We start from the raw sequence: 27,209 nt of genomic DNA, 5'->3' as shown, positions 1-27,209 counted from the left end.
CCTTTAGAGACCTATCTCTACATATAGTCACATTCTGAGGTACTGAGGGTAGGAAGTTTGTTGTGGCACTATTCAGCCAGTAAAAACTACCCACCCTCAACTGTTGCTCAATCTTGTCTACCATAGTCATCTCTTATAAGTCAGATGACCCACAATTTAGGAAGCTGATCCTGTGGTAAATCCTGTTCTCCTTAAATTGGTGAAAGCATAGATGTCAAAAATAGCCATATAGTAAAAATTAAGTGAAGGCATAAAATACCTTTTCAAAGGCTTCCAAAAGGTAAGACCTTTCTAAATATTTCTAAATTGATCTACCCTATTTTGCAGTTCCAACCATGAGGATTAATAACTGCTGTGGAATTTTTTATAAGGGCCAGACTAGAATTTTTAAATGATACCTCACATAATTATTTTATGAAAACACTGTAAGTTATTAATCAAATTAGGTTAGCTGTTTTTCAGCAAATATTCTATTCTTGGACATTGTGAATGAAGAATGCTAACCTTTGATTGGGGTTATAGGGCTTTACAACATCCGAAGCATACTAGTGCAAATTAAACAGTGTATCATCAGAAATATATTTGGGAAAAGGGAAACTATAAAGGCAACCAAAATAGGCTGCGTAAACTTTGCAAACTTCTGTGGCTGGCTAGAGCTGATGTACTCAGGATCTCCCAATATCCTGTTAATACCTCAGTGTCTGTCTTTTCCCCCTACATTCAAAGAATCTATGCAACCCCCTGGGGGCAAACCTGTTCTAAATCATATTAGCCTTTATCCCATTATAATTCCCTGTATATCCTAGTCTAAAGGAAATTTAATTGCCTTATTCAGTCACATAAATTCATTTTAATCTGACACATAATGTACAAAACATATATATTGTAAGATAATGTTCATGAAAGACTTATTTATCAAGGGAGAAAATATAATGTATACATATGGGGTAATGACACAAGATATAAACATGGTAACAGCAATGAAAGTTAAAAAATATATAGGATCAGAATTCTGAAAAAAAAAAGCTATTACCACTAATTCGGATATTTGGGAAGGATTGATGATGGAAATGGCAGTGGTAGCGAGTTTTGAATTGTGAAATAGGTGTATTTTAATTCCAGGCCAAAAAAAAAAAAAAAAAAAAAAAACAAGTAGCATGAGGTAAACATAAAGAGAAGAGTGAGACCTCCAGGAGGAAAAGTAGGATTTGTTTGGCTCAAGTAAATGGTAGATGAAAGGCAACAGAATTCAGACATGGGAACATAATCTTATGAAATAACTCCATCCTATATGTAAAGGAGAAAGTGAAAGTTTCAGAGAAGGACCGAAATATGCTTCAGAAGAATTAATGCTGTAGGAATACGTTAAATGGATTTGAACAGGATGTGCCAACAGCGGAGTACCATGGCACAGGTAAGCTGCATGGTAGGAGCCTCAGGAATAAGGGGGAAGGCCCTGAAAGGATACAATTACAAAAAAATTACAAACTATGAAGTCAATTGGTTATGATGATGAGGCAGAGATTTTGGTCCTGGCTGACTAACAAGATATTGCCTTTAATAAAAGCAGCAAGAAAGGTTAATTTTGGTACGAAAAACATGAGTTCAGTTCTAAATATTGTAGTAGTCAATATTTTTAGATGATTGTCAAGACTCACCACCCCTGGTGTGCAAGTTGTGCATAATCTCTCAGACTGTGAATGTGATTAATTTTATTCTTATGATTAGAATATGCTGTGATATGGCACAATTGACTTTAAGAAAGGGAGATTGTGCATTTGGGCCTCACCTAATCATAGAAACCTTTTACATGTAGGGCATTTTGTCTGGCTAGTAGCAAAAGAGGAAGTCAGAGGTTCAAAACATGAGAAAGACTGAATGGTTCAGTGCTGGCTTGAAGATTAGGGTCCACATGGCAAAGAATTCAAGTGGCTTCTCAAAGCTGAAAGCAGCAAGGAAGACCTAGCAAAGAAATGGGGACACTTAGCAAGGAAACGGGGACTTCAGTTCTACAGCCTCAAAGAGATGACTTTTGCTAATACTAAGAACAAGCTTGGAGTGGATTTTTCTCTAGAGCCTTCTGATGAGAACTCAGCTTGGCTCGTACCTTGGTTTTGGTCTTTTGATAACCAGTAAAGAGCCCACTCATGCTTAGCCAGACTTCTGGCCCATTGACTGTGAATTAATAAATTACTTACATTTTAAGCTGCTAAATTCATGGTAACTTCAATAGAAAATAAATGCAGATATATTGCCCTTTAGTTGTATGGAAAGCATTGAAGATAGAATTTCTCAACCTTGGCACTATTGACATTTTTGTACTGGATAATTATTTGTTATGGCGGTCTGTTCTGTGCATTAGAAGATGTTTAGCAGCATTCCTGACCTCTACCCCTAGATGCCAGTAGTATTCAATATTGTAACAACCAAAAATGTCTCCAGACGTTGTCAAATGCCCTCTTGAGAGCAAAATTTCCTCGGTAGAGAAGCATTTATCTTAGGGTAAAAACTAGCGGTCATTTATAAATAGGAGGTGTCTTAGTCTGTAGTCAGGTTGCTATAACAAAATATCATAAACATAGATAGCTTATTCACAACATAAATTTATTATGTGCCTGGTGAGGACCCATTTCTTATACATAGCGTCTTCTTGCTGTCTCCTTACATGGTAGAAGAGGCAAGGCAGATCTCTGAGGCTTCTTCTATAAGGGCAGTGACCCCGATCTCTAGAGCTCTGTCCTCATGATCTAATCACCTCCCAAAGGCCCAGACTCTGAATAACATATGAGTTTGGGGGTTAGGGGGTGGGGGTGGGAGGACTAGAACACTCAGACCATAGCAGGGCACTAGAGATCAAGGAGTTGTGGTAAAACATTTAGATTGGAAAATCAGCTGGGCGAAGAAAGTTGAAGGTGGGAAGTTTTAATAGATAAGATGCAAGAATTTTAAGAAAAAAGTTTGAAAGACATTTCTACTCAAGTATCATAAAAAGGAGAAATGATTCAGGCTGGAGATAATGCAGGCTAAGAGAAGAAACAAGAAAGAAAAGCCTTAAACAATCTAAAGCATAACTATCAGAGAGCTGAGAATAAAAAGTACGTTGAAATTGGAACTAAGATGTCATTGACAGATTTGTTTTGGCAGAGTGGCTTGGACAGAAGCTCAATAGAAAAGGAATGAATAAATTTTTTAAAAGGCAATAGCTTTTAAGAGGAAATGGGAAAATTAGTGCTTTTAAGGTAGGAGCATTGTTAGAGATAGAGGAGAAAGGACATAGGGAAAGAACTGAAAGAGGACAAATATTTATTGAGTATGTTCTCATAGTATCAAAACTCACCTATAACAGTTACCTTCCCAAAATCAAAGCAACCATAAGCTCTGTCTCTGTTTCTACTGTTGTTTATAGAAGCCTCTTGATGTTCTGCCAACTGAACATACTAGCTTTTTCCTGCCAGCCTGCCATTGCAAAGCCTTTGATGTTGGTTGGTTTCTTGCCACTCAACACATATGCCCCTATGGACTTGACACCTTGGATTCTTCCATTGAATCTCAACTTTGCTCTCACCTGACAATTAGTTTTTCTATTTACTTTTACTTCCAATGCTGAAGCCATGGTGTTGGATCCCAGCAATTTATATACTAAACCTGGTACCTGCTATCCTAGCCATAGCAAAACCCTCTGGGAAAATATTTTGTACACTGTATATAGAGGAAAATATTTTGTACACTGTATATCCATGCTGGATAACTACTTAATTTGTTCTCAAAATCTTCTTATGACATCTCTACACTATTTTTAGAGATCATAAATTAACTTGTCCAAACTCACATAGATAGCAAGTAAAAGCTGAAATTTGAACTCAGAACTATCTGACTCCACTGCCTATGATCAGTGCTCAAATTTCAAATGGAATATATGTTTTTTCAACTTGACAGTCTTCCGTGAAAAAGAATGGTGCCAGAGTCAATCTATGACCTGAGATATTATGTAATATTTTCATTAGTATTTAATTTGTGAACTGGAGCAAAACTTGGTTGAAATTGGTGTTGACATAATACTGAGTTAGGTGGGTGGTACATTCTTTTGAAGTAAAGGTCAGAGGTCATTACAAATTTAGCAAGCTATAAAATTAGTCAAATATGATTATACATCTATTTAATTTTTAATGTTATCACTTCTTTATAAAATAAAGAATTTTGCCAAATAGTTCATATTGACATTGTTTAAGAGCTAAGAGGATCCATAGATTCTGTTCAAATGACCCAAATACAGTGTATATATAACTTTCACAAAGTAGGAAATAATTTATATTTTATAAGTATACAAATAATTTAAAATATAATTATTTTTCTGGATGCATTCATAAAATATTTCTAAAACAAATTTAGAAAGATTTTAAATATTTATTTTTATCAAATTATTTTAAATGAGAAGAAGCTGCCATAGAGAATAGGTTGTCATTATTTCCCAGAACTTTTAAATGCGGAAAGACTCATTTTCAAACTAACTCATCAGATTACATGAAAAGTGAATTTTATTAACTTCCTGAGGCAAGGCAGAGCCCAAACCCAATTCTGAATAGGAGGTCTCTGTAGAGAAAATGAGAGAACAAATTGTATTGTTTATCTCTTAGACTCTTAAGTCTTAGAGTGGGATAGGTGGAGGAAGTCTTCGAATTAATTGATTTCTTAAGGTGAGAAATGATGTAAGCAAGGTGAGTTCTGAGGAGAAAAAGGATTGTTGCTAGGGACATAACACATTCTGCCACTGTATTTCCATAGCTGATGATGATATTAATAGTTATTCTGGTTTTTAGAGAGCACAGCTTGTTCATTCCATTAAAAAGTACGGATGGCTATGCTTCAGTTTGACACTCACTGTAAAGGAAGACAAAATGTTGGTAAGTACTCTCAGTACAAAGATATTGTAAAGAAACAAGTAACAACAGTAAATGAAATTCAAAAATGGAATATTAACAATAAAGAGAAGTAATAGCTCTTGAATTACCTTCAAATACTTCAGAGCTGTGCTGACAAATATGGTGGCCAGCAGCCATGGTGATTTTTTAAATATAAAGCAACTAAACTTAAATAAATAAAAGTTAACTTCCTTAGTCAAACTAGCCAAATTTCAAATGCTCAACAGCCACATTTTACTGGTGGTTACTGTATTGGAAATAGCACATATAAAATATTCCATTATTGCAGTATTGGATAGTGCTCCATTAGTACAACTTTAGTGGATTAAAAAAAAATAATGGTAAAATATTTGAAATTTAGGCAATTTGCAATCAAAAGATGAAAATATATGTTTAATTATATATTAATATATTTACATAACAATATTAAGTGTAAATATGGTAGTTTAAGAATGAAATGTAAATGTATATAACCTGGGTTTATTGGATCTTATTTAAATGATGCATATTTTTGGAAAGGCTATACATCAATTATTGAATGAAAATAAAAAAATAAATTGTATGTTGGCCTTCTGGATATTTGGAAAGTTCTGAATATTAATATGTTGAAAAATTTCATTTTGTATATGGGTATTTTGAGACTATATAAGCAGAACTTCAGATATAAATATATTCATCCTTCAAAGCATTTCTAACTTTCTTTCCACTGAAGGCCTACTGGATAAATGTTTATAAAGAACAGTACAAATAAAGACTTCATCTGGAAATTGTGGTCATAAGCTACTGCTAAAAGTGATTTGATTTATAAAGTAATAATGGTCTTATTTTAATAACATATTATGAAGCTGTTTTTATGATTTCTTTGGAAAGTACAGATCTAAGTATTCATGGTATGGTTTGGCTGTATCCCCACCCAAATCTCATCTTGAATTGTGGTTCTCATAATCCCCATATGTCATGAGAGGGACAAGTGGAGGTCATGGAGTCATGGTGACGGTTTCCTCCATCCTGTTCTTGTGATAGTGAGTGAGTTCTCATGAGATCTAATGGTATTATTAGGGGCTTTTCCCCTTTTTGCTCTCCATTTCTCTTTGCTGCCACCATGAAAAGATGGATGTGTTCGCTTCCCCTTCTACCATGATTGTAAGTTTCCTGCGGCTTCCCCAGCCCTGCAGAACTGTGAGTCAATTAAACCTCTTTCCTCTATAAACTACTCAGTCTCAGGTGTGTCCTTATAGCAATGAGAGAATGGACTAATATAATTCATAAGCCTTTTTCTTTCCCCTCCTTTTTAAGTATATTTCCTAATTTGCTTTGGGGGCACAATTCTGCTTGGAGAAATTTGTTGAAAAGCTAAGGCTTCTATCATAAGTACTTCAAATGGAAGCTGTAGGAATGCACGGAGAATTTAGGAAAGGAACATTGAAACGTTCTTTTATAACATTTCAATGTTTTTTCCTTGACATCTTGAAGGAATTATTTTGACCTACCCATGAAAAGAAAAGCCTCTGGTGTCCTGCTTCCTCTTCCTGCTATAATTTTGCTACCAGAATCAAGTTTTTTGAACTTGCATGAAACGTTGAACATCAAAACCCTGAAGACAAAGCATAGCATGGGTACAAAGTACTTTTGAATATCAGAAGATAATAATAAAGAAATTGTGAATGAAAGACATGTTTACTGGCTATTAGAAGGGCTCCCTTAACAATTTTGTTTCTCTATGTATGTGTCCTTGTTTTCTTCAAAACATCTCAGTTGTGTTTCTCTAACATTCTGAGGTGGAGCTTAATGTGCTTGCATTTTTTTTATACTTGTTTTCTGCAGTTGTTTTAAGTGAGTAGATTTCCTGACCTCTTGGATTCAAGAATGAAAATCAATTATCTCCTAATGAATCTTTATACCTCACATATTTCTGCAGTCACAAAATTAATTGGGTTTAAATTAACAAGTTATTTATTTTTCTTCAAATACTAATTACATATTTGGTCTAAGGAGTTTTGCAAGATGCTCTGAGAATTCATTTTATGGAAATTTTTTTAAAAACTGTCAGTCCTGAAATTTCAGCGTACCCTGAGGATGACCTTTATGAAGTCCAGTAGTATAAAGCTATATTTCTAAAATATGATGTCTTGGGTGACAAATGAAACTTTCTCTTCTACTAGATATAATATAAAAACTTATTTTCATTATATATGATGCAAGAAACCAATATGTGCAGAATATATATTTAATATTGTGTACATGATTCATATGCTGAAGAACTTCTATTTTGAAGAATTTAGTGTTACTTAACATACAGAAACTGATTATTTTCAACGTGTGCTTCAATCATATGCCTTTTGTATTTCTAACTTGTTCATTGATATATGTTATTTTTGCTTAAAATGTATTTCTGTGATTCTTTAAACAAAATGTGTTTAATGGATATAAAACACCAGAAAATGCATTAATTATTCTAAACAATTATTTGAATTTTTAAACTCTAACTACAATTGATTCTAGGGAAATATTTAAACCCAGGTTTTGTAACATTGCATGTTAACACTTCAGATATAATTTTGTTGCTTCATTATTTGTAAAATTTATTTTATTATTTTTTTGTGAAGCTTTTAATCCCAGAATTCTAATCTCAAGATTTGAATAAATCTTGACATTTATTACCTTCACCTTTTTATTATTCATGTCTATTGCTCAATGTAGGATTAGAAACTTCTTACTCCCAAGGCAGATTTTTTTTTTTACCTTTGGGTAGGAATGAAAGTTCTTTGAATTCAGCTAAAATCAGTTTATCTAAATTCATAGCCATTGGTTTTAGACCTTCCTCATATAAATGCACTAAGTATTAGAAGTCTCCAAAAGTGGATTTCTCATTACTTTGTAATCTTTTTGTTCTAACAAATGTTTATTGAGCATCTGGGATCAGATCCTAATGATTTAAAAATGAAGTGAACAGAAGATTTGATCTCTAGAAATTTAAAATCATTAGAACTAATTAATATTTAAATACTATCTGCCCCTACAAATTTTACTTTTCAGTTTCTTGTTCAGTTTAATATCTTGTTCAGTCAAATATCTTGTTCAGTCAATTCCTTTTCAGGTCTAGATGTCCTCCCACAATTAGAGTATTAATACCTGGTTAGTCTTCCCTCCCTTTTATCATCATCTTTCATTCCTTCCTTTCTTCCTTCCTCCCTCACTCCCTTCCTTTGCCCTTCCCTCTCTCCTTTTCTTTCTTCCTCCTCTTCCCCCACTTCCTTCCTTCTGCTCTTCAACTTAGTGGTTGCTGAACAGTGGGATGAATTAACTTAGTTATTTACCACGATAACCTCATTCAAATCAATATAAGTATACTTGTATATCTCAAATTAAAGCTTGAATTCAAGTGAAGTAAATTCTGTTCTTAAGCATTTATGATAATATTAAGTAATAAGTAATATAAACCCGATGATTATAGTAATTTTATAATTTGAGCTCCATTTTTCAGTTCATTTATGGTTGTCAAGAAAACACATTTATAAGAAGACTTTAAAGTAAAAGAAAAACACAAAATAAAACTATGAATTTTATAGTATATTCACATAATTGACTAATGCACTGCAATTCTCTTTTGATGTTTCATACATTGGCATTTTTAAAATAAGTTTGCATAGCCATATTTCTGGCTACAATTATCAATGGAAACTTGAAACTTCAGTACAAACCTATTAGAAGAGAAAGTTGAGAAAAAAACACATGGAAATAGAAAAAGTGTCCATGCCCTTCAACTGTGTAATGAACTGAGGAAAGTCAGCCAGTGTGTGCTAGTGTTGGAATATGCTAATACTTTGAATACTGCTAGGATAGGATTTTTCATTGTGGCTGATCAGCACAATGGCTCCAGGAAGACCATCCTGAGGAGACTGCTATCTGACTGTATGCTTCAAATTGCAAATTGCATCCTACATAAAATTCTTTCTTCTTTCCTAGGTTCAGATCAATTTGGTTTGATAATGCCACTATGCATCACTCTGCACAATTCTGTTAATCCTTTGCAGAAAGTATGAGAGTGTGAGAGATTGGAATATCTCAATAAATAGCTGATGTCTTCAGTGAAAAAAAAAAAGATAATTTTAATTAAAATGTCTTAAATTTTAGAAAGATAAATCTATATTGTAATAAATTAATGATTTAAAGTTTATAAAAATAAATTACTGCAGAAAGTAGCAAAGCTATTTTGGAATGCTTTTCTTAGAGTGTGCTGACAAATGAGGAAGGGTCATCCTAAGGGAGAATAATAAATGAAGCAACTCTCATTTAAGGTCTTTATAAACTTTTATTTGGGGAAGTGGGAGAGAAAAGTAAATAATAAATAGTAAGTTGTTAATTTCGGGACTGTTTATTAGTGTGGCATAAAGGGATTTTTACCTTTTGATTGGTAAATAGCTAGAAGTAAGAGAGAACAGTTACTAGACCTTCAAGGTTGTATGCCTGCTTCTAGGGTGTTCTTGCTGTGTCCAAGGGCTTATCCTCCTCCACAACCACAAGCCCAAGATGAGCCCAGCTGAGCTAAATATAAGACAAGCAAAATATTTATCTCAAGAAGGCCCTAGGTCCACTTTCCCCCATATCCCATACTTCTCTTCTTACTTCTATCATTTTCAATGCTTTTATTGCCGTGTTACAAAAAAACTGGCATCTTAAAACAGAGTACCAGAAATTTTCTTCATCAATAAGAAAAAAAAATAGTTCTATTGCATAATGTTTAACAAATTAAGTCCCACAAGAATATATTTGCATGTTAAAAAATAAGAAGTTCAGGCAGGGCACAGTGGCTCATGCCTGTAACCTCAGCACTTTGGGAGGCCGAGGCAGGCGGATCATGAGGTCAGGAGTTCAAGACCAGCCTGGCCAACATAGTGAAACCCTGTGTCTACTAAAAGTACAAAAAATTAGCCAGGTGTGGTGGTGGGCGATGAACTTTATATATATATAAAGTTCAGTACTATTGCTAAACAATAACTAACCATGATTTTTATATCACTTTTGTAATTACATAAACTTTTTTGATCCCAGTATTAATTATATGACACACTTTCCTCTGATCATCAGTGAAGTCACTGATTTTGAAACAATAGAATTTTTTTCCAAACTCCTTGTACAGTCATGCTGTTTTTATGTTTTTTTTTTTTTTATGACAAATGAGGGGATGCTTTTAACGGAACTTTTAGAATACTAGTATCCTAGTCCACATGAAAATATGACATATATTAAGTACAATTATTAAAATATACATAACTCTTTTTTAGGTTAATGAAAAGGAGGAAATATTTTGACAAAGAATACAGAGACCTGTATTGTAACTCCGACTTCATAAGTTAACAGGACCTTTAGTAACCCATTACTGGACATGCACCTCCTTTTCTATTTTTAAACTAAGTTCACTCCACCAATTAATTTCTTAAGATTCCTTTTGTAATGAAAATTCTATGTCTTTTATGTGAATTTATAAAGAAGCAGAGAATTATATTAGTAGCTTTAGAAGTCAGTTATTACCTCCTGCCATTTGGTTAGAATTTTAAATGTTGACATGTATTAATGATAGAAACTTGTAGAGGGGGATAAATACAAAGTTCATATTACAAGCTTCTGGCCAATTTTCTTTACCAAGAAGCTACAAGCAAAAGCTGGGAAAATTTACTTTTTTACACTTTTTTCTATTTATGAGGACTAACTAAAGTTATATTTGGGTTTAGAGGATGCAGTGGATGCTTAGGGGAAATCAAACAGTTATTTAAAAAGAGGAGGTAAGTGTCACTGTGGCAAGCTCTAATGGCAACTGTGTGTTCCAACAGCAAAGCTAGGTCACAGAGCTAGATTGTTTTGAAAAACAATCATAATCACAGAAGTGGACTGGTCAAGAGCAGATTACTGGAAGGCAATTTGGGCCCCCACGAAATATTTTACAATGAAGTTAAGAAATAGAGCCAGGACTGGACTCTGAAATTAGGTCTCAAAGGAGTATTGATACCTGTTTCATACCTGCTTGCCCCAGCCATCCTGCATGCAGACTGGTGCCCGAGAGAGATGGTTCTGTAGGCAAGCCTAAAAGTTATGACCCTACATTTGCAACTGAAAGTCACTCTTGGCTTGGAAGATCTAGGGTGATGAAATAGAGAAGGAAAGAGCATCCTTCCTCACATTTCAAAGAAACCCTAGCTTATAATAGCAGAGACCACTGAAAAAATGGCAGAGGTCGTGTTATACCTACATGAATTATTATGGTGTCTGCTAAAATGGATGATAAAGCCTCTGATTTCAACAGCTGAAGCAACAACACTGTCAGGATGCGTGAATTTAGAAAACTTTATCTCCACTGTGTATCAGGGCTTGAGGCCCAGCTAGGAATAGTGTTGAGAGCAAGAACAATTTCACTACAGGGATGGCAAACTTCAGAGAGCTGCTCCAAGAAAATTAATGTGGAGACTCAGTTTACTACTTTCATTCGCCTTGCACTCCCCAACCATGCCCCTGGAAACTTCTCACTTCCTGTCAAGTAAATATGATATAGGAGGAGCTATGTCATATTTCTACCTCTCTACTGGTGTCCAGCAGTGACCTTCATTTTCTATCAACTGAAGGGTACCAAATTCATACTTCACAGGTTTTGAGAAGCAGGGACAATAACAGCAAGAATTGCTTGGTTTCTCATACATCTGCAATTTGGCCGGTGGCCTCAGATTTTCTGCCTTCTATGGCATAGATTTAATTTGCTCTGTTAGCTCATGGGAAGGAAGACCAGAACTCACTCTAGACCCCTGTAGGGTTCCTTGAAAAAAATAAGGTTTTAAGAGGTTTGACATAGGGCTAAAAATCCTAATTTCTTGTTATGTAGGGCAGATGGAAGCTCAAAACTGCTACGTTTGAAAGTATAAATATGAAAATAACATTGCTTATCCATACTGGCGAACACGAAATATTGGAGCTACACACTAAAGATGTTAAATCTCATGCAGGTTTTAAACGCTCCCCACAGTGACAGATTCCAGACACTATCCAGAAGAAGGTTAAGAGAAATATGACTGGCGAAAGGAATTTACATATCATGACATCCACTGGTATAAGAGAGGCATGCCACATAGATGGTGGAGAATTCATTTAAAAGTTACAATAGTTGCATTCACCCATTCATTCAACAAACGCATGTTCTATACTTTGGGAAAAGCACTCTGCTAGACACAGGAGTTCACAAAAAAATGAATCAGACATGAATACTAGTCTTTAATCTTGTTTCACTGAATAGATTTTATATATATGTATATATATACATATATATACATCTCATAAGTACATAAGTATGGTTTTAATAGTTTCATAGAATATGGATATATATATGCAAATTTATCTATCTGTATCTTTTTATAAGAGTTTTTAAAGTCACCATCATTTTGGTGCATAAAGCTTATTTCCTGCATTGCTTTTAGTTTTTAATAAATATACTTGAAACTAAATCTTTGCTCAAATCTGTAGTTAATCCATTAGGTTAATTTCCAGAAAAATTGATGTATGGAGACAGTTTAAAGCTTTTGCTATTTATTGTGAAACTGTGTTACAGAAAGCTTATTCTACTTTATTCTCCAATCAACATGTATAAGATATTCCATTTTCTTCTATTTTTGCCAACATTGAGTGATACTACTTATAAAATTCTTTATAATTTCATCGTTAAAGAGTGGTGGCTCACTAACATTTTTATTTTTATTTCTTGGTTTATTAGTGAGCTTCAAAGTGTCTTCATACATTGTTAGCCATTTAAATTTCTTTCTTTATGCATTGCTCCCGTATGTCCTTTTAAAATTTCTGATTTTATTATTTTTAATTTGTAAAACTTTGTATTAACATTTGTTTACTTTAAATATGTTTTATACAGTTAATAAAAAGTGTGCCATCAGAAGAACATTTTTATTTATTTTTTTCTGTTCTTCTACAAGGTTCTCGCACTAAAGCTTTAGTATTTATGTATTTCTCCTTTACATTTCTCTGTGCCTTTATTCTAACTGGGTTGACAGGTTAGCTCAAGGGTAGCATTTTGTCATTGAGTTGCTTTGCCAGTTACTTGGTAAGGGGAAAAAAAAATTAATCCTGATAGAACTGAGTAAAATTCATTCTACATTATAATAGAGAAAGATTAGTTTAAGAAATTCAACTTTCCCTTTTTATTATTATTATAATTTAAGACATTCAACTTTCTAATGGAGGAAGTATCTAAGTATGTAATAGACAGCATTCCATATAGTGAGATAAACAAAAACATGTGGCTATAAAGGAAATTGTAACGTTGCTGATTGAGATGAGATACATTAATCTCTGTTAAGTGGAAGGAAATTACCACTGGCAAACAATTTGTTAGCAACTATACAACCAAGAGGATCTGCATGCCTGATTTAAGCTATCATATGAAGCAGCAAAAGTGAGATAGTCCTAAAATCTCGGAATGTTTTTGTAATACTCCTTTAGCATCATAGGAGACACTTCAGTCTCACCTAGGGAGAAATCCTGTCTAGTTTTTAATCAAACATGTGGGATGTTGTTACCCACTTTTGGTGACTCCCTACTTGAGTAGAAAATCTAACTTGTAGTGTACCCATTTATTTTATCCCAATTTTTCTGCTTATTAATAACAGTTGGGGTAATGGAAGTTTTTAACACATGGCTCCAGGGATGGATTAAATGTAGAAAATTTACCTCTTGGTTCTAATAAAGACAAACATTGCTATTTGGTTACCTGCTGCCACTGATAGCAACATATTGGTATTTTTCACTTTTCCACATTAAAACACATACTTTATTAGTGAAATATTAGAAATAAACAGAAGACAGTCATGGGAGGAATGCACTTTAAGTTTGTGAGGCAAATGTACATAAAATAAATATTCGTAGAATATTGTTATGCTCTCTAATTTCACAAAATGATATACAAAAGAAATGGTATTTTATTTATTTTTGCAGAATCATCCCATATGAAAAAATTACTAGGTGTGGCCTGCAGTCAACATTAAGGATTAGAAGAAACCCGTAAATATAAATCAACTGCTCTAATTCCCTATTTCTGTTCTTCAACACTAGTTTATATGTTTGTATGTGCTGCTATTTCAATCAACTTCTCTATATTTTGATTTAGTTGCCGGTTTAGTTGAGCACTGTCAGAGATCATGTAGTTCAGCCTTCTCATTTTACACATGAGAAGACAGATCTTAGAGGTTAAGTGATTTGCCCAGGGTTACACAACTAGTTAGTATCAAAGTAGAAGCTAAAATAGAGAGTTCCTGATTTCTAATCAACCTTCTTCACTTTACTATGTTGACTTCTAAAATAGTACAAGACCTTAAATTAACCTTCTAAATAGTTAACTTTTTTAAGATTAGTGAGAATTTCTGCCAAGCAAGTAGAAAATGGTATTGATTTACCTTGTTTTACTATTTCAAGTAAACTGTGTGATTTTTTTTCTTTATAAAACACACACGCACATACACACATAATATACAATATCATCATCATGAACAACAAAATCCCATCCATGGCCTAGAAAACTGCATATTTATTGCAAAACTCTAAAGTAATAGCTTATTATATTCAAAGTTTTTGTTTGTTTTGCTTATTTTAAATTTATGTAAACATTGCATCTTGTGGATATTTTATACTTGTTAAATACACACAAAGATGAGGGTATTAGAAATGTAAGACCTAGGCCGGGCATGGTGGCTCCTGCCTGTAATCTCAGAACTTTGGAAAGCCAAGGCAGGTGGATCACCTGAAGTCAGGAGTTCGAAACCAGCCTAACCAACATGGTGAAACCCCGTCTCTACTAAAAATACAAAAATTAGCCAGATGTGGTGGTGGGCACCTGTAATCTCAGCTACTCAGGAGGCTGAGGCAGGAGAAGCACTTGAACCCAGGAGGTGGAGGTTGCAGTGAGCTGAGATCACGCCACTGCATTTCAGCCTAGGCAATAGAGCAAGACTCCCTCTCAAAAGAAAGAAAAGAAAGAGAGAGAGAGAGAGAGAGAAAGGAAAGAAAGAAAAGAAAGAAAGAAAGAAAGAAAGAAAAAGAAAGAAAGAAAGAAAGAAAGAAAGAAAGAAAGAAAGAAAGAAAGAAGAAAGGAAAGAAAGACCTTTCTTTGCCTTTTCTGTTCCTCCTTCACATACCTTATAACTGTGGTCTACCTGTAACTTCCTACAAATCCTGAGATAACTTACAAAAGACCAAAATCAATCTGGCATAAAAATTAAAAACTTTATTGACCTCAAAATGCCTGCCAGCAGTATGTGAGCATACTGCAAAACATCAAGCCAAGCTTAGAGGTATGAACATTCCCAGAAGTGTGTAGGTATTACTACCTGAACAATATTACAATATATTTTCTAATTCCTTCCTAATTAACCTCTTCTTGCCACCAAAAGATTTAAAATAATAAGTTAAATAATTATCAAGAAAGGCATAAGGAGGGAAGATTCAGCATTTTCCTACAGGATCCCTGCACCTACTCAGACCATTTTCCCTAGAGTTTCTGAGAGCACATTATGATATACAATGCTTGATAACTAATTCTCTGGAAGATTTACTATTCTATAAATTTCTTAGACACAGATCTCAATTACAGCCACAGTTGTCCTGCTTGATATTCAGTATCAAAAACATTAGAGTGAATTCATCTTAAAATATACAGTGTTACAATGAAAATGATAAAAAGTCTAAAGTTTCTATCCTTAATTTTCATGCTATACCCTAATTTTAAAATGAGACTTGAGGTGTTAAGGAAATGCAGAATGGCTCCTGAACCAAGAAGGAAATGATAGATATTAAAGTAGGAAGAGAGATGAGTGAAAACCAGACTTGTGTGGTGGATCAAAGCACCCTGTGTACCAAAGAAGCTCAATGCTACAGATTTTTCAGAACTAGAAACTGATAGCTGTTGCTGTTTCGTCCTTTGTCTTTAAATTGTCCAGAATAATGCATCCTGCATTCTATTTTAATATACCACCTATTTTATATTGAACTTTCTTTGTATAGATTCTGAGTTGGAGAATTGCAAACAGAAAGTTTATTGTGGAATGTTCTTTGAGATACACATCCAAAAATAATAATGATTGGAGAAATAGGATTGAGCAAAGGAAAACACCAATCTTCAATGTAGTTGCAACTGAGGCTTCAGCCAGTCTGCTGTCAAGTTTTGGAGCTGGAATAACAATGTGGCCCCAAATTAAGGCAAAGAGAACATGTGTTATATTCCTTCATCAGTTAGTCATTAACTGTGAGCCACTGCCTGAAAGGGGGTGGAAACTTGAATGGGCTATTTTTTATGGATCAAGCAATTCTCAGTAAGGCATGAAGTTGTAATCCCTCTGAAACTAAGATAACCAGCACCTCTGAGGTGAATGGAACGCTTAAAACCTAAGAGGCTCCAGGGGTCCAGAAACTGAGCAAGAGATCATGACTTTTTTATCAAGGTGACTACTCTCCTGACTATTCAGCCTTGATTTCTTTGGATGTTTTCATTAGGCACAGTAGTTTGTCTTCTCTCTCTGATTAATCCTGCCTTTTTCTCTTTGTTACAGGTTATCACCCAAGAGTATTTACTAGTAAAACTTCTACACAAAACTCTTTTCTTCAGAGTCTATAATAATTTATTCAGAGTCTATAATCATGAAGCCAAATTTAAGAGGTTTGTTATCAGTAGTGGACCTTAAAAGCAGATTCATAGATGGGGTTTTGGAGATCAGTCACTTACTGGCTTGCTGTCGATTGAAGTACCCATCGCTCTCGGTAATTAGAGTATGAATAGGTCCTGGCATAATGTAGCAGTGCAATTGTTAAAACTTCCATTAGTAGTGAACTGGAATGTGATAATAGTGGAGGGGATATGTTGCTTTGTGTAATATCTTAGACAGTTGAAAGGTAGGAATGAAATGGTAACTCAAAGGGTTATAGAACTCAGCAACTGTTGCAGTCAGCTATAGATTCATTAAAGAAAGATAATTGCAAACTTATATTTATTAACCACTAACACAAGGTCAAATGTTAAAACTAGAGGACTTCCTGGACAGCATTTATGGAAACCCTATTCTTTTCTAGCTGTATCTGAACGTCAGACAGCGTGAGAACCAAGCTCAAGACTTAATCATAAAGACAGAGAGTTTTATCACTTAGAGATCTAGCAGATAAACTACTTAAGGCTGTATTCACCTGTTCCTGATGCTATAACAAAATATTTTATACTTGGCAATTCTCACAGTTCTGGAAACTAGGAAGCTGAGATCAAGGTGCCAGCAGATTTGGTATCAGTAAGGGCCTTCTTGCTGCATCCTCACATGGCAGAAGGGATGAACATTTTGTCTTCACATGGGAAAGAGTAAGAGAGGGAGGCAGCTTTCTGAGGTATCTTTTACAGGAGTGTTAATCTAATACAAGAGCGTGGAGCCCTCTTGACCTAATCACCTCCCAGAGGCCTCACCTTCTGATACCATCACCTTGGTTTCGACATATGAATTTTGGAGAACACATACATTCAAACCATAGAAAAGGTGTACTTCTATCAGAAGGAAAAAGACCCTAAAAGGATATGATAGAAATCCAATATTGATGGTAAGTAATTCAGTGGATAAAATTGTTGGCAACGTAAGTATACATAACAACACCTTAAATATTTTGTTATAGAAGACTCAGACGACCTTAAGTAATTTATCTGCTAGATCTCTAAGTGATAAAACTCTCTGTCTTTATGATTAAGTCTTGAGTTTTGTTCTAACTCTCAACTTCAGATTTAGCCAGTCAAGATTCGGATTTCTATAAATGCTGTCCAGGAAGTCCTCTGGCTTTAACGTTTGACCTTGCATTAGTGGTTAATAAATATAAGTTTGTCATTATTTTTCTTTAAGGAATCTATGGCACATTGCAACAGTTACTGAGTTCTGTAGCCCTTTTAGTTACCATTTCATTCCTAGCTTTCAGCTGTCTAAGATATTACAAAAAGCAGCATATCTCTTCCACCATTATCACAATCCAGTTATTATTATAATCATTATTATAAAATTTAATATAAAAAGTAAATTATGTCTTGTACTTGAGCAACAACTAATGAATATATATTTTTAAAAATATATATGTGTAAAACATATATAAACTGTAAAATTTAAGTTTGATCACATCACTCCTCTGTTTTAAACTCTTCAATGCATTTTTGTGTTATTCACAGTAAAAATCAAAGCTCATAAAACAGCTTCAAGGCTCATCATTAAATTTCTATGATATCACCTCCTAAAAGTTTAGTTTTCTTCTTACCAATTCTATGCAGCTATGTTAATCTCTATGTGACTATAGAGTAATTACCTTTCATTCTTTGTATGTTTCTTAACTGTTAGGACTTTCAGAGCCAGTTTGCTTAAATAAGTAGGACTTTAGCTAATTGACCAAACTGGAGGTTAAATTATGACTGATTAAATATGAATACACCTATAACAAGCCAAGAAAGTACGTTTACCCACAGAAGATAAATGAATATCTGATAAGCACATTTAAAGATTCTCAAATCATTAGTCACTAGAAAAATGCAAATTAAAACCACATTAAGATACCATGTTATACCTACCTACTAGAAAGGCTATACTGTACATGTCAGGAGACAGTAAACTTTGATGAGGCTATGAGGAAAAGGAACCTTCTTACATGGCTGACAGAAATGGGTATATGATGCAGTCCCACTGGAAGTGTCTGACAGTTAATGGAAAGGTTAAATAAACCTGATGTTGTCATATGACCCAGAAATCCTATCTTTTGTTAATTATCCAAAAGAAATGAAAATGTATACCACACAAAGCCTTCTCTCAAAGTACTGGATCAGGGCATCCTGTGTACCAAATAACAAAAGTAAAAGAAAGAGGTCCTGATGCTTTTTTCTCCCCTATTAACACCATCCAGATTCTTTTTTTCTTTCTTTTTTTCTTTTTGGTGTTTCTTCTTTACAGTGTGTAGGATGATATTTGGCTTTAATTATATCACTCCAGGGAAAAAAATTAAGACACAGAGAAACTTTTCAGCTCTTATTTGCTCAAAGTATAGAAACTTGTGTGAATTCTATATAGCATAATAAATACAGATATTAAAAACTTAACGATTTCTTTGGTATTCTTGAAGACACCATACATCCTCTTGCCTTCAATTTTCATGTGGTCTCCATCCATATTTCTTTTTCTGAAATATACACATGACTGTTAACCTTACTTCCTTTAGATCTGTGATCAAATTCATCTGTGAGTTAACCTTTACTTATTCTCCTTCTATAAAAAATGTTCCTTTCTACCTGGCATGCTCCATATTCTACTCTGATTCCTCTTTCTTCATAATATTTATTACCACCTGAAATAGTTATTTAGTTGTTTATGTATCTCCTATATCCCTCCATGCTAGTCAATGAGAGGAAGGGCTCTGTGCAATTTTATTCATTGCTGTGTCCTTCATATCCAATCAAGTACACGGTTAGTGCTTAATGACCTGTTTGTTAAGTTAATGCTGAATAAAGGAAGAGCCACTACCAAGGACGTACATATCAAGGAGGCTTTACAGAGGAGCTGACATTTGAAATAGTTTTTGAAGAAAGAGTAGAGTTTTCTCCAAAACGGAGAGAAAGGAAGGAAGACTTTCCAGCTAGCTGTGTGGAAGAAAGGGAAATACAGTAAACACTGTCAGTGTCTTATGGCAATTAGGAGGAAGTTTGATGACTTGACAAAAGCAACTTCAGGAAGAAAGCATAAATTCTTCTTCAGTGTATTCATTAATATATGTAGTATGTGTTGGACTAAAATATATAATATTATCCACAATATATAAAAGATACATATTTCTAGATACATAATCTATATTAAAGTTTTTGGCTAAATCTCTGTTAGCTCTTTTAGGTTAGCCCTTTCCCGGCAGAACCGGTAAAAGGATTGCATTTTTTTGTGTGTTTGTACTATTACAGAATCCAGTATTTAAAGGATTTTGGAAAAGAGAATTTAAAATGAAATATTAGAAACTACTTCATTTTTCTTTCTCCTTTACAAATAAAGATGTAATTTTATAAATAGTGATGTAGGTAGTCAAATGGAAAACAGTTATGTTTCTTTTAAGTTAATGAAATTTAGTTTCAGGTTAACCAAATTAATTGTATTTTTAAATAACTATTTGAAAAGATAATTATTTAGCAAAAATATGAACAAGAATGTTGACATGTCTTTGTATTACTGTTTTAAGTGTTGGGAAATTTTACTTAACAGGAATCATCATGGAAGTTTTATTTTTGCAAGCCTAAAGACAAAAGATAATTACCAGTTGCATTACAGACAAATCTTCAATGCTCATTGACTTTTCACAAAAGAAATCTATTACTCACTTATGCCCAATTAAACATGGGCTGGTAGGAGGAAAGGGGCACATTCTCCTCAATCTTGTTCCTCTAGGATCCAAGTTGCCTCCATCTTGTTCTTGCCATCTCAACACATGACCTCCAAGTTTGTAGTTTCAGGAAGGAGTGGGCAGCCCATTAGCACACAGTGCCGTATCCTGAAAATAATGTACTTCATTTCCATTCACAATGCTTGGCTTAAATTAATTACAACATCCTTCTATCTTCAAGGGAAGCTAGAAAGTTTAGCCTGCCAACATGCCAAAGAAAAACAAAAACAGGGCACTTGGATATAGGTAAACACCTTGGGAAAAATGTGGCACTATCAGGGGCTTTTGTACAAAATTAAACGCTCTCTGCTCAATTTTCAATTATTACAATAATATTTTTATTCAACTTTTTTCAAAATCACTATTTTCTTTAAACATTATATAATTACAATGATCTTCTACTTAATCATTAAATTTCTCTGTTCCCTGCATAGGCTTTCACCAACAATGTACACTTTATATATTTTTTCCTTCTCTCCAGCTATACTATCTCAATTATTATAATAATTCCATATCTCATATTTTTAAAACAATAGTAAACAAAAATCCTAAAAACAAAATTATTGTTTAAAAGTGCTAGTCGAATCTTTTTCATAAAGGAAGTATCAATTATTCTGCAGATATTTGTTTGCTAACATGTTTATTAAAGTGGGGAATACAGAAAATTTAGGAAGCATTTACTATGCTACTATTTGGCTGAAATCAGTTCCACTAGGTGTAATAATTGGTAAATAACAAAAGCCATTATATAATTGAGTACTAACTTTTAGAGAAGAGAAAGGTAAATAGTTTATGAGTAATGAAAGCTTTGTGGAGCAGTTGGCCGTTTCCCAGAACTTTTAACAATATGAATTGTTGGGCTCAAGTGATGAGTGCTTTCAAAGTTTGGGTAATTAACAGAGGTGGGTATGTTCTCAGGACAAAAAGCAGAACAGATCATATCATACTGGTTCATCTACATTTGTAATTTAAATAAAAATTAGCCAAATATTCAGATCTTTCAGGTCAAAATAAATCTTCAATCTACCATTGTGGTTGTTGATGGTTAATTCTAGGAGCAAAGACTTTAAACCTCACTTATAAAGCAATTAACAAATTTACCACTTTTCTTTCAATTATAAATATAGCTAAGGTGAGATAATTTATTCTGATCTATTATTAGATGCTATTTAAATATCTAGATTCTGAAATATTTACACATTACAATATGAGAACAAAGATCACTGCCTTATTTAGTTTCCAAGATATCCATATAAGGAAAATCAAAAGAAAAAAACAAACACAAGAATTCTACTAGTTTTATACACTATTTTTCAAGTTGTAATTATTATGGACATCTTTTATAAAGAAGTTTAAGTCATCTCCAGAAATGAAATTATTTTAATTTTAACAGAAAGCATGTACAAAATTTCTGTTCGGGTACCCAAAATATAAAAAATAAAATAAAAGCAAGCCCTCAAGAAATTACTTGGCAGGTTTATTTATTTATTTTTTTTATTTGGTCACTTGAACTGCTTTTCCAAGTTTAGTAAAGATCCACCTTCTGTATCCAGATACAAATTGCTTCTGGACAAGATAATATTCCCAGCTTTACAACCACTATACATGTTTACAGGTAGGGATTACAACACGTGGCCATGTTTATTTCTAAAATGCCCAACTAAACATTAGAGCCCTGTCATTGAATCTGAGACATGGCTGTTAGTACAAATTTTGTTGATTTTGACATTTTCCTGATATTCCATGGAAATATAGCTACTCTGGTCGGAGGTGACCATAAAAGGTAACTTCATGTTCTAATAAAAACTAAAACAACAAAGTACTAAGCTCCTGCTATTTATTCATGTCAGTATAAAATTTGTCAAGCAATTACTGTAATAGCAAACACTAAAATTATCTACTGAAATGTAAAAGAAAACTTTAGTATAACAAGGGGCAAATAAAGTATAGTTATTTTACTTCTGATAGTCAAGTATTGATTTTTGGCTGAAACCTTTACAAGACTTGTAGTCAAAGAGTAAGTATCCTGTTGACTGGACTATGATAAGCTTCAGGATAGGAGTGAATTTCTTAGTATGAAGACTTTTACTATTTCAGATGAATATTAATACAATAAATAGGAAATATCTTTCTACTGTTTGATTATAATATTCTTTAGTGTCATAGTGTCCTATTGCCATTATTTAAAATATGTATAAACATTTCCAGAGCAATTCCAATAATATAAAAAATGAAAGAGAATTCAAAAGAAAATATCAGAGAAACACAGTACAGAATTACTGATTACCATGTGCATATCACAACTGATTTTTGCTTTCTATAACTAATCAATAATAGATTGTCTTCAAGGCTAAAATATTATCAAAGTTGACTTTTTCAAGGTGATCTGACTGTAAATATGTAGAATGCAGCTTTCTAAATGTTTTTAAAGATTTCAGTTAGATTAACAAAATGGATACCTGAAAACCCATAAATGATCACATTACTTTACTGTGAAAATGATCACAGGTCCAAGAAACTTCTGGATAACAAAATAACCATCAGGGCAGAAAATAAAGAAAACAACGATTATACTTGCAGGTGCGCCATATTGGTGAGATGAATTTAAGTATACATGTTTATTTCCTCAAAAAGATATATTTTACAAAGTAGATAAACTACTGCAAATGAAAGCATTGAGTTCATGAATTGAGACTTTAGAGAATACAGTTGACCCTTGAACAACACAGGTTTGATTGGTGTGGCTCCAATGATATGTGGATTTTTTTTCAATAAATATTTCAGAAACCTTTTTGGAAATTTGTGCCAATTTGAAAAAAACCTTGCAGACAAACCCATAATCTAGAAATATCAAAAAAAACAAGAAAACAATTATGCCATGAATGCATAAATATATGTAAATACTAGTGTATTTTATCATTTACTACCATAAAATATGCACAAATCTATTATAAAACATTAAAATCTATCAAATCTTAGGCATATAAACACTCCCAGACTTTACATGGCACCATTCACAGTTAAGGGAAATACAACCAAGCATAAAGATGCAGTATTAAATCAAAACTGCATACAATTAACTGTAATACATTCTGTACTCCTATTGCTATTGCAGTGAACTCAAGTGTTGGGAGCATCTGCTTAAAATGCTATGAGATATTAATCATGTCCAATTGTACACTGAGCAGTTTGCCTATTCAGTAAAATGCATATTGCAGTAAAAGTGATCTCTCTGTGCTTCTCTTGTATTTTTATCGTGTTTAGTGTAACACTGCAACCCTTGAATAACACCATTGGACCCCTACGAAGTGCCAGTAGTGATGCTGAAAGTGATCCCAAGCAGAGAAAAATCATGACATTACTAGAAAAAGTTGAATTGCTTGATGTGTACTGCAGATTGAGGTCTGTAGCTGCGATTGCATGCTTTTTCAGACAGGTGGTTCATCGTGTAAACGGATGATGTAAACTTATGGTACTGATAAACACAAAACAGTGCAGACTGTAAATGTATTTTCTCTTTCTTATCATTTTCTTAATAAGAGTTTTTCCTCTAGCTTAGTTCATTGTAAGCATAGAGTATATAATACATACAACATACAAAATATGTGTTAACTGTTTTACGTTAGCAGTAAGGCTTCTACTTCTGACTAGAAGCCTTACTTACCGCTAACATACAACATTTGATTAACACATATTTTGACTTTTGACTCTCCTAAAACTTAATTACTAACTACTATCTATACTTAAGTTTAGGGAAAGTCAAAAATTATACAAAAATTTTCAACTGTGTTGAGATAGGTACCACTAACTTCCAATTTGCTTGAAGGTCACATTTACTAGCTTTTTAGTTTGTTATTTATCATCACACTTCATTAACATGATATAATCTAAATCAAAAAAAGTGTGTGTTTTCAGCATGTTAGGTACTATGAATGCCTAACATGGTACAGTGTGTTAGGCACATAAGACATATGACACCATCCTTGACTTCAAGCTGTGTAAAACCTTAGTCAAGAATAAAAACTTATATTTGCAGAAACCATAAAGTACATTATAAAGCACATCATAATTACAAACCAAAATATAGGTTTCAGATGATGCCATGTTTGAAGTTAAAACATAGGAGAAATCAATGTGCCCCAGAGTGCTTCAATAGGAAAAGCCTCCTGGCTGAAGAGAGACTTCAGAGACATCCTGAAAGATAAATTAAGATTGGCTTATGGGAGCAGAAAGAAGTTGTCCAAGAAAGTAGTAATTCCAACATTTATGTTACCTAGGGTGACCTAAGTAGCTAACTAACAGTATACAAATGGAAAAAAATCATCCCTAAAGTATGAATAAATATACGAAAATTCATAATCGTAGTAGAATCAAACTTAAGAATGTCTCATATTCTACACTATGATTTAACACATTTAGCTATAACCAGAAGAAACAAACATGAAAAAATTAGTAAAAGAGAAACCAAGAATACAAAAATTCCCATGCACTCTTACATGATAAGAAGGTACAACTTAAATAAAGAAAATTAAATGTGATTAAAAATTAACAGGAAAAAATGAAATAGAAAAAAGTGAATTCAATACCAAGAAGAATGGTTGCTATTACAGAACTGGGACACTGACATATAGATCCAAGGCAATATTAAAAAAATACAATCATGTCTTCATGTGGAGAAGATTGACCCTATGGACATCACAGTCCCAAACATGCTGAAGACAAAACACAATTTTATTTATTTTATTTTTACTATTTTTTTTTTTGAGATGAAGTTCCGCTCTTGTTGCCCAGGCTGGAGTGCAGTGGCACAATCTCGGCTCACTGTAACCTCAGCCTTCCAGGTTCAAGCGATTCTCCTGCCTCAGTCTCCTGAGTAGCTGGGATTACAGGCACCTGCCCCCATGACCAACTAATTTTTTGTATTTTTAGTAGAGATGGAGTTTCACCATGTTGGCCAGGCTGGTCTTGAACTCCTGACCTCAGGTGATCAACCCACCTGGGCCTCCCAAAGTGCTGGGATTACAGGTGTGAGCCACTGCGCCGGGGCCATTTTTTTGAAGTTTCTATCAGGAGAAGAAATCTACGAGACCCTGACTGTTCCTGTATGCCATTGATGAGTACGCTAATAATTTAAGACCCTGACAGCTTTTAAATCAGACCTTTTTTCATGGTTGTTTTTGTAGTGAATGAACTTGAGAGATAAGTAACACATTACCTTGGATAGAGAATAGGCTTGCCTCTACGCACCATAAAACAAGTGAAACCCCAAGTTCATGTCTCCATTACTGTAATGAAACCGACTGAGTGTACAGACATCTATAGAGGCCCTTTGTGTTGCCTACCAATGGGACATGGGGGTCATGGAGAATCAAAGCACACGAACATCAAGCTGTGGACACTGCTTTCGCTGTTAAAAAGTTTGTCTCTGACACAGGAGTCTCGTCTTTTGCCACGATTCATGAAACATTAACAGGCCATCAAATCATCTTGTAAGTAGACTAAAATCTTAGACCCACCCTGAGAGTTTCTGGATATTAAGACTTGAAGTTACACAGTTCTCTTCACCCAAAAAATAATATAACCAAAATAAAATCACAACAAAATAAAAATAATAGCAATGAACATTTATGGGGTGCTAACTATAAGCCAGGCATTGTGCTACATGATTTACTTATGTTAATTCTTTTCTCATAAAAATCTAACAGGTAGCCACAATTGATTACTTCCAATTTTCTGGTGGAGAAAATAATACCCTAGGAGATTTTATCACCTGCCCAATATTACACAGGTCATAAGTGAAAGAATTGGAATCCATATGTAAACACTCTAGTTCCAGATCCAGTGTTCTTTCCTACCAGGCTATATCATCTTAATTAGTGCACAACTAAACATTCCAGTGTTTTGATACTAATGCTATTGATTATAGTGTTGATTATAATGAAAAGTATACACTAAAATATATTATTATTGTTTGTTGATTGCTCTCACCTGTGGCCAAAATCTATGGTCCTTTTTCAAAATGTGTTAAATGAAATGCAATTGAGCATTCTTACAGTTTTTCCTACTGAAACTTCTTCTTTCAGCATTATTCTGTCTCCTAATTATTTGATTCCATTTATAATTCAAACGTTTATGCTTTTAAAGACTTTTAGATCACTAAACAGATTTATCCTTGTTTATTCAAATGTTAACTTTATTTATGCAAATATTTGTATAATTTTTCATAATTGACTCATATAAAAGGTTCAGGATTCTCAATTAAAGTAACAGAATAAGAAACCTCTATAAATAAGCAATCTTCCATATTTTAGGGAGTAAAATCTTACATGGCACATAGATACAGGAATCGCTGTTCTTAAACTGACATCTTTTTGTACTGCAAGTTATTTAAGAAAATAGGAATAGAGTTCCAGAAAGAATAACTATCTCTGGGAAATGATTCAAGATAGCCTTAGGCTAAATCTTTGACATTCATTTTTTTGCTCAGCGTAAAGGTTCTGATGGTAACATAAAATAGGCTGTGCAAGCTCAGAACTGATCTCAGAAAGAAATGTGAGTATGAAGGGCCAATAAATTAAACTAAATGAGGTGATTTAAAAAAAAATAAATGGTTCTTGATATCTTTATAAAAAAGAAAAATGAGCTATTGATACTAATCTGCCATCTCTCAACAGACAACTATATCAAGGATCTAGGAGGGGATGCACTCCAATTACTGCTGTTAGCAGTGCAATGCTGCCATTTTATTTTTTATCAGTCATTAGTACAGCAAAGTACAAAGTGTACCTATGCTTTGTAAGCAATGACACATAATGCGTATTTTTT

General features: G+C 33.7%; 1 long non-coding RNA gene across 4 annotated transcripts in view; it reads right to left on the bottom strand.

Moving 5' to 3' along the window:
• Window positions 1–4,512: 4,512 nt before the first annotated feature.
• LOC101927483 (uncharacterized) overlaps window positions 4,513–27,209 on the bottom strand; it is a 34,094-nt gene continuing 11,397 nt past the window's right edge. For 2 of the 4 annotated variants that reach the window (XR_943829.2, XR_007064149.1), the window contains exons 3-7: window positions 24,462–24,578; window positions 20,323–20,492; window positions 19,064–19,142; window positions 6,410–6,513; window positions 4,513–4,878 (exon numbers count right to left, since the gene is read on the bottom strand). This is a non-coding gene — a long non-coding RNA (uncharacterized LOC101927483). Of the gene's footprint in view, window positions 4,879–6,409; window positions 6,514–19,063; window positions 19,143–20,322; window positions 20,493–22,974; window positions 23,226–24,461; window positions 24,579–27,209 lie in introns of those variants that run through there. The other 2 variants (XR_007064148.1, XR_429360.3) reach the window with 2 other exon arrangements.

The sequence above is a fragment of the Homo sapiens genome, chromosome 14 (genome assembly GCF_000001405.40).
Source record: "Homo sapiens chromosome 14, GRCh38.p14 Primary Assembly".
Lineage (NCBI taxonomy): Eukaryota > Metazoa > Chordata > Mammalia > Primates > Hominidae > Homo > Homo sapiens.
This window is presented reverse-complemented; position numbering and strand designations above follow the sequence as displayed.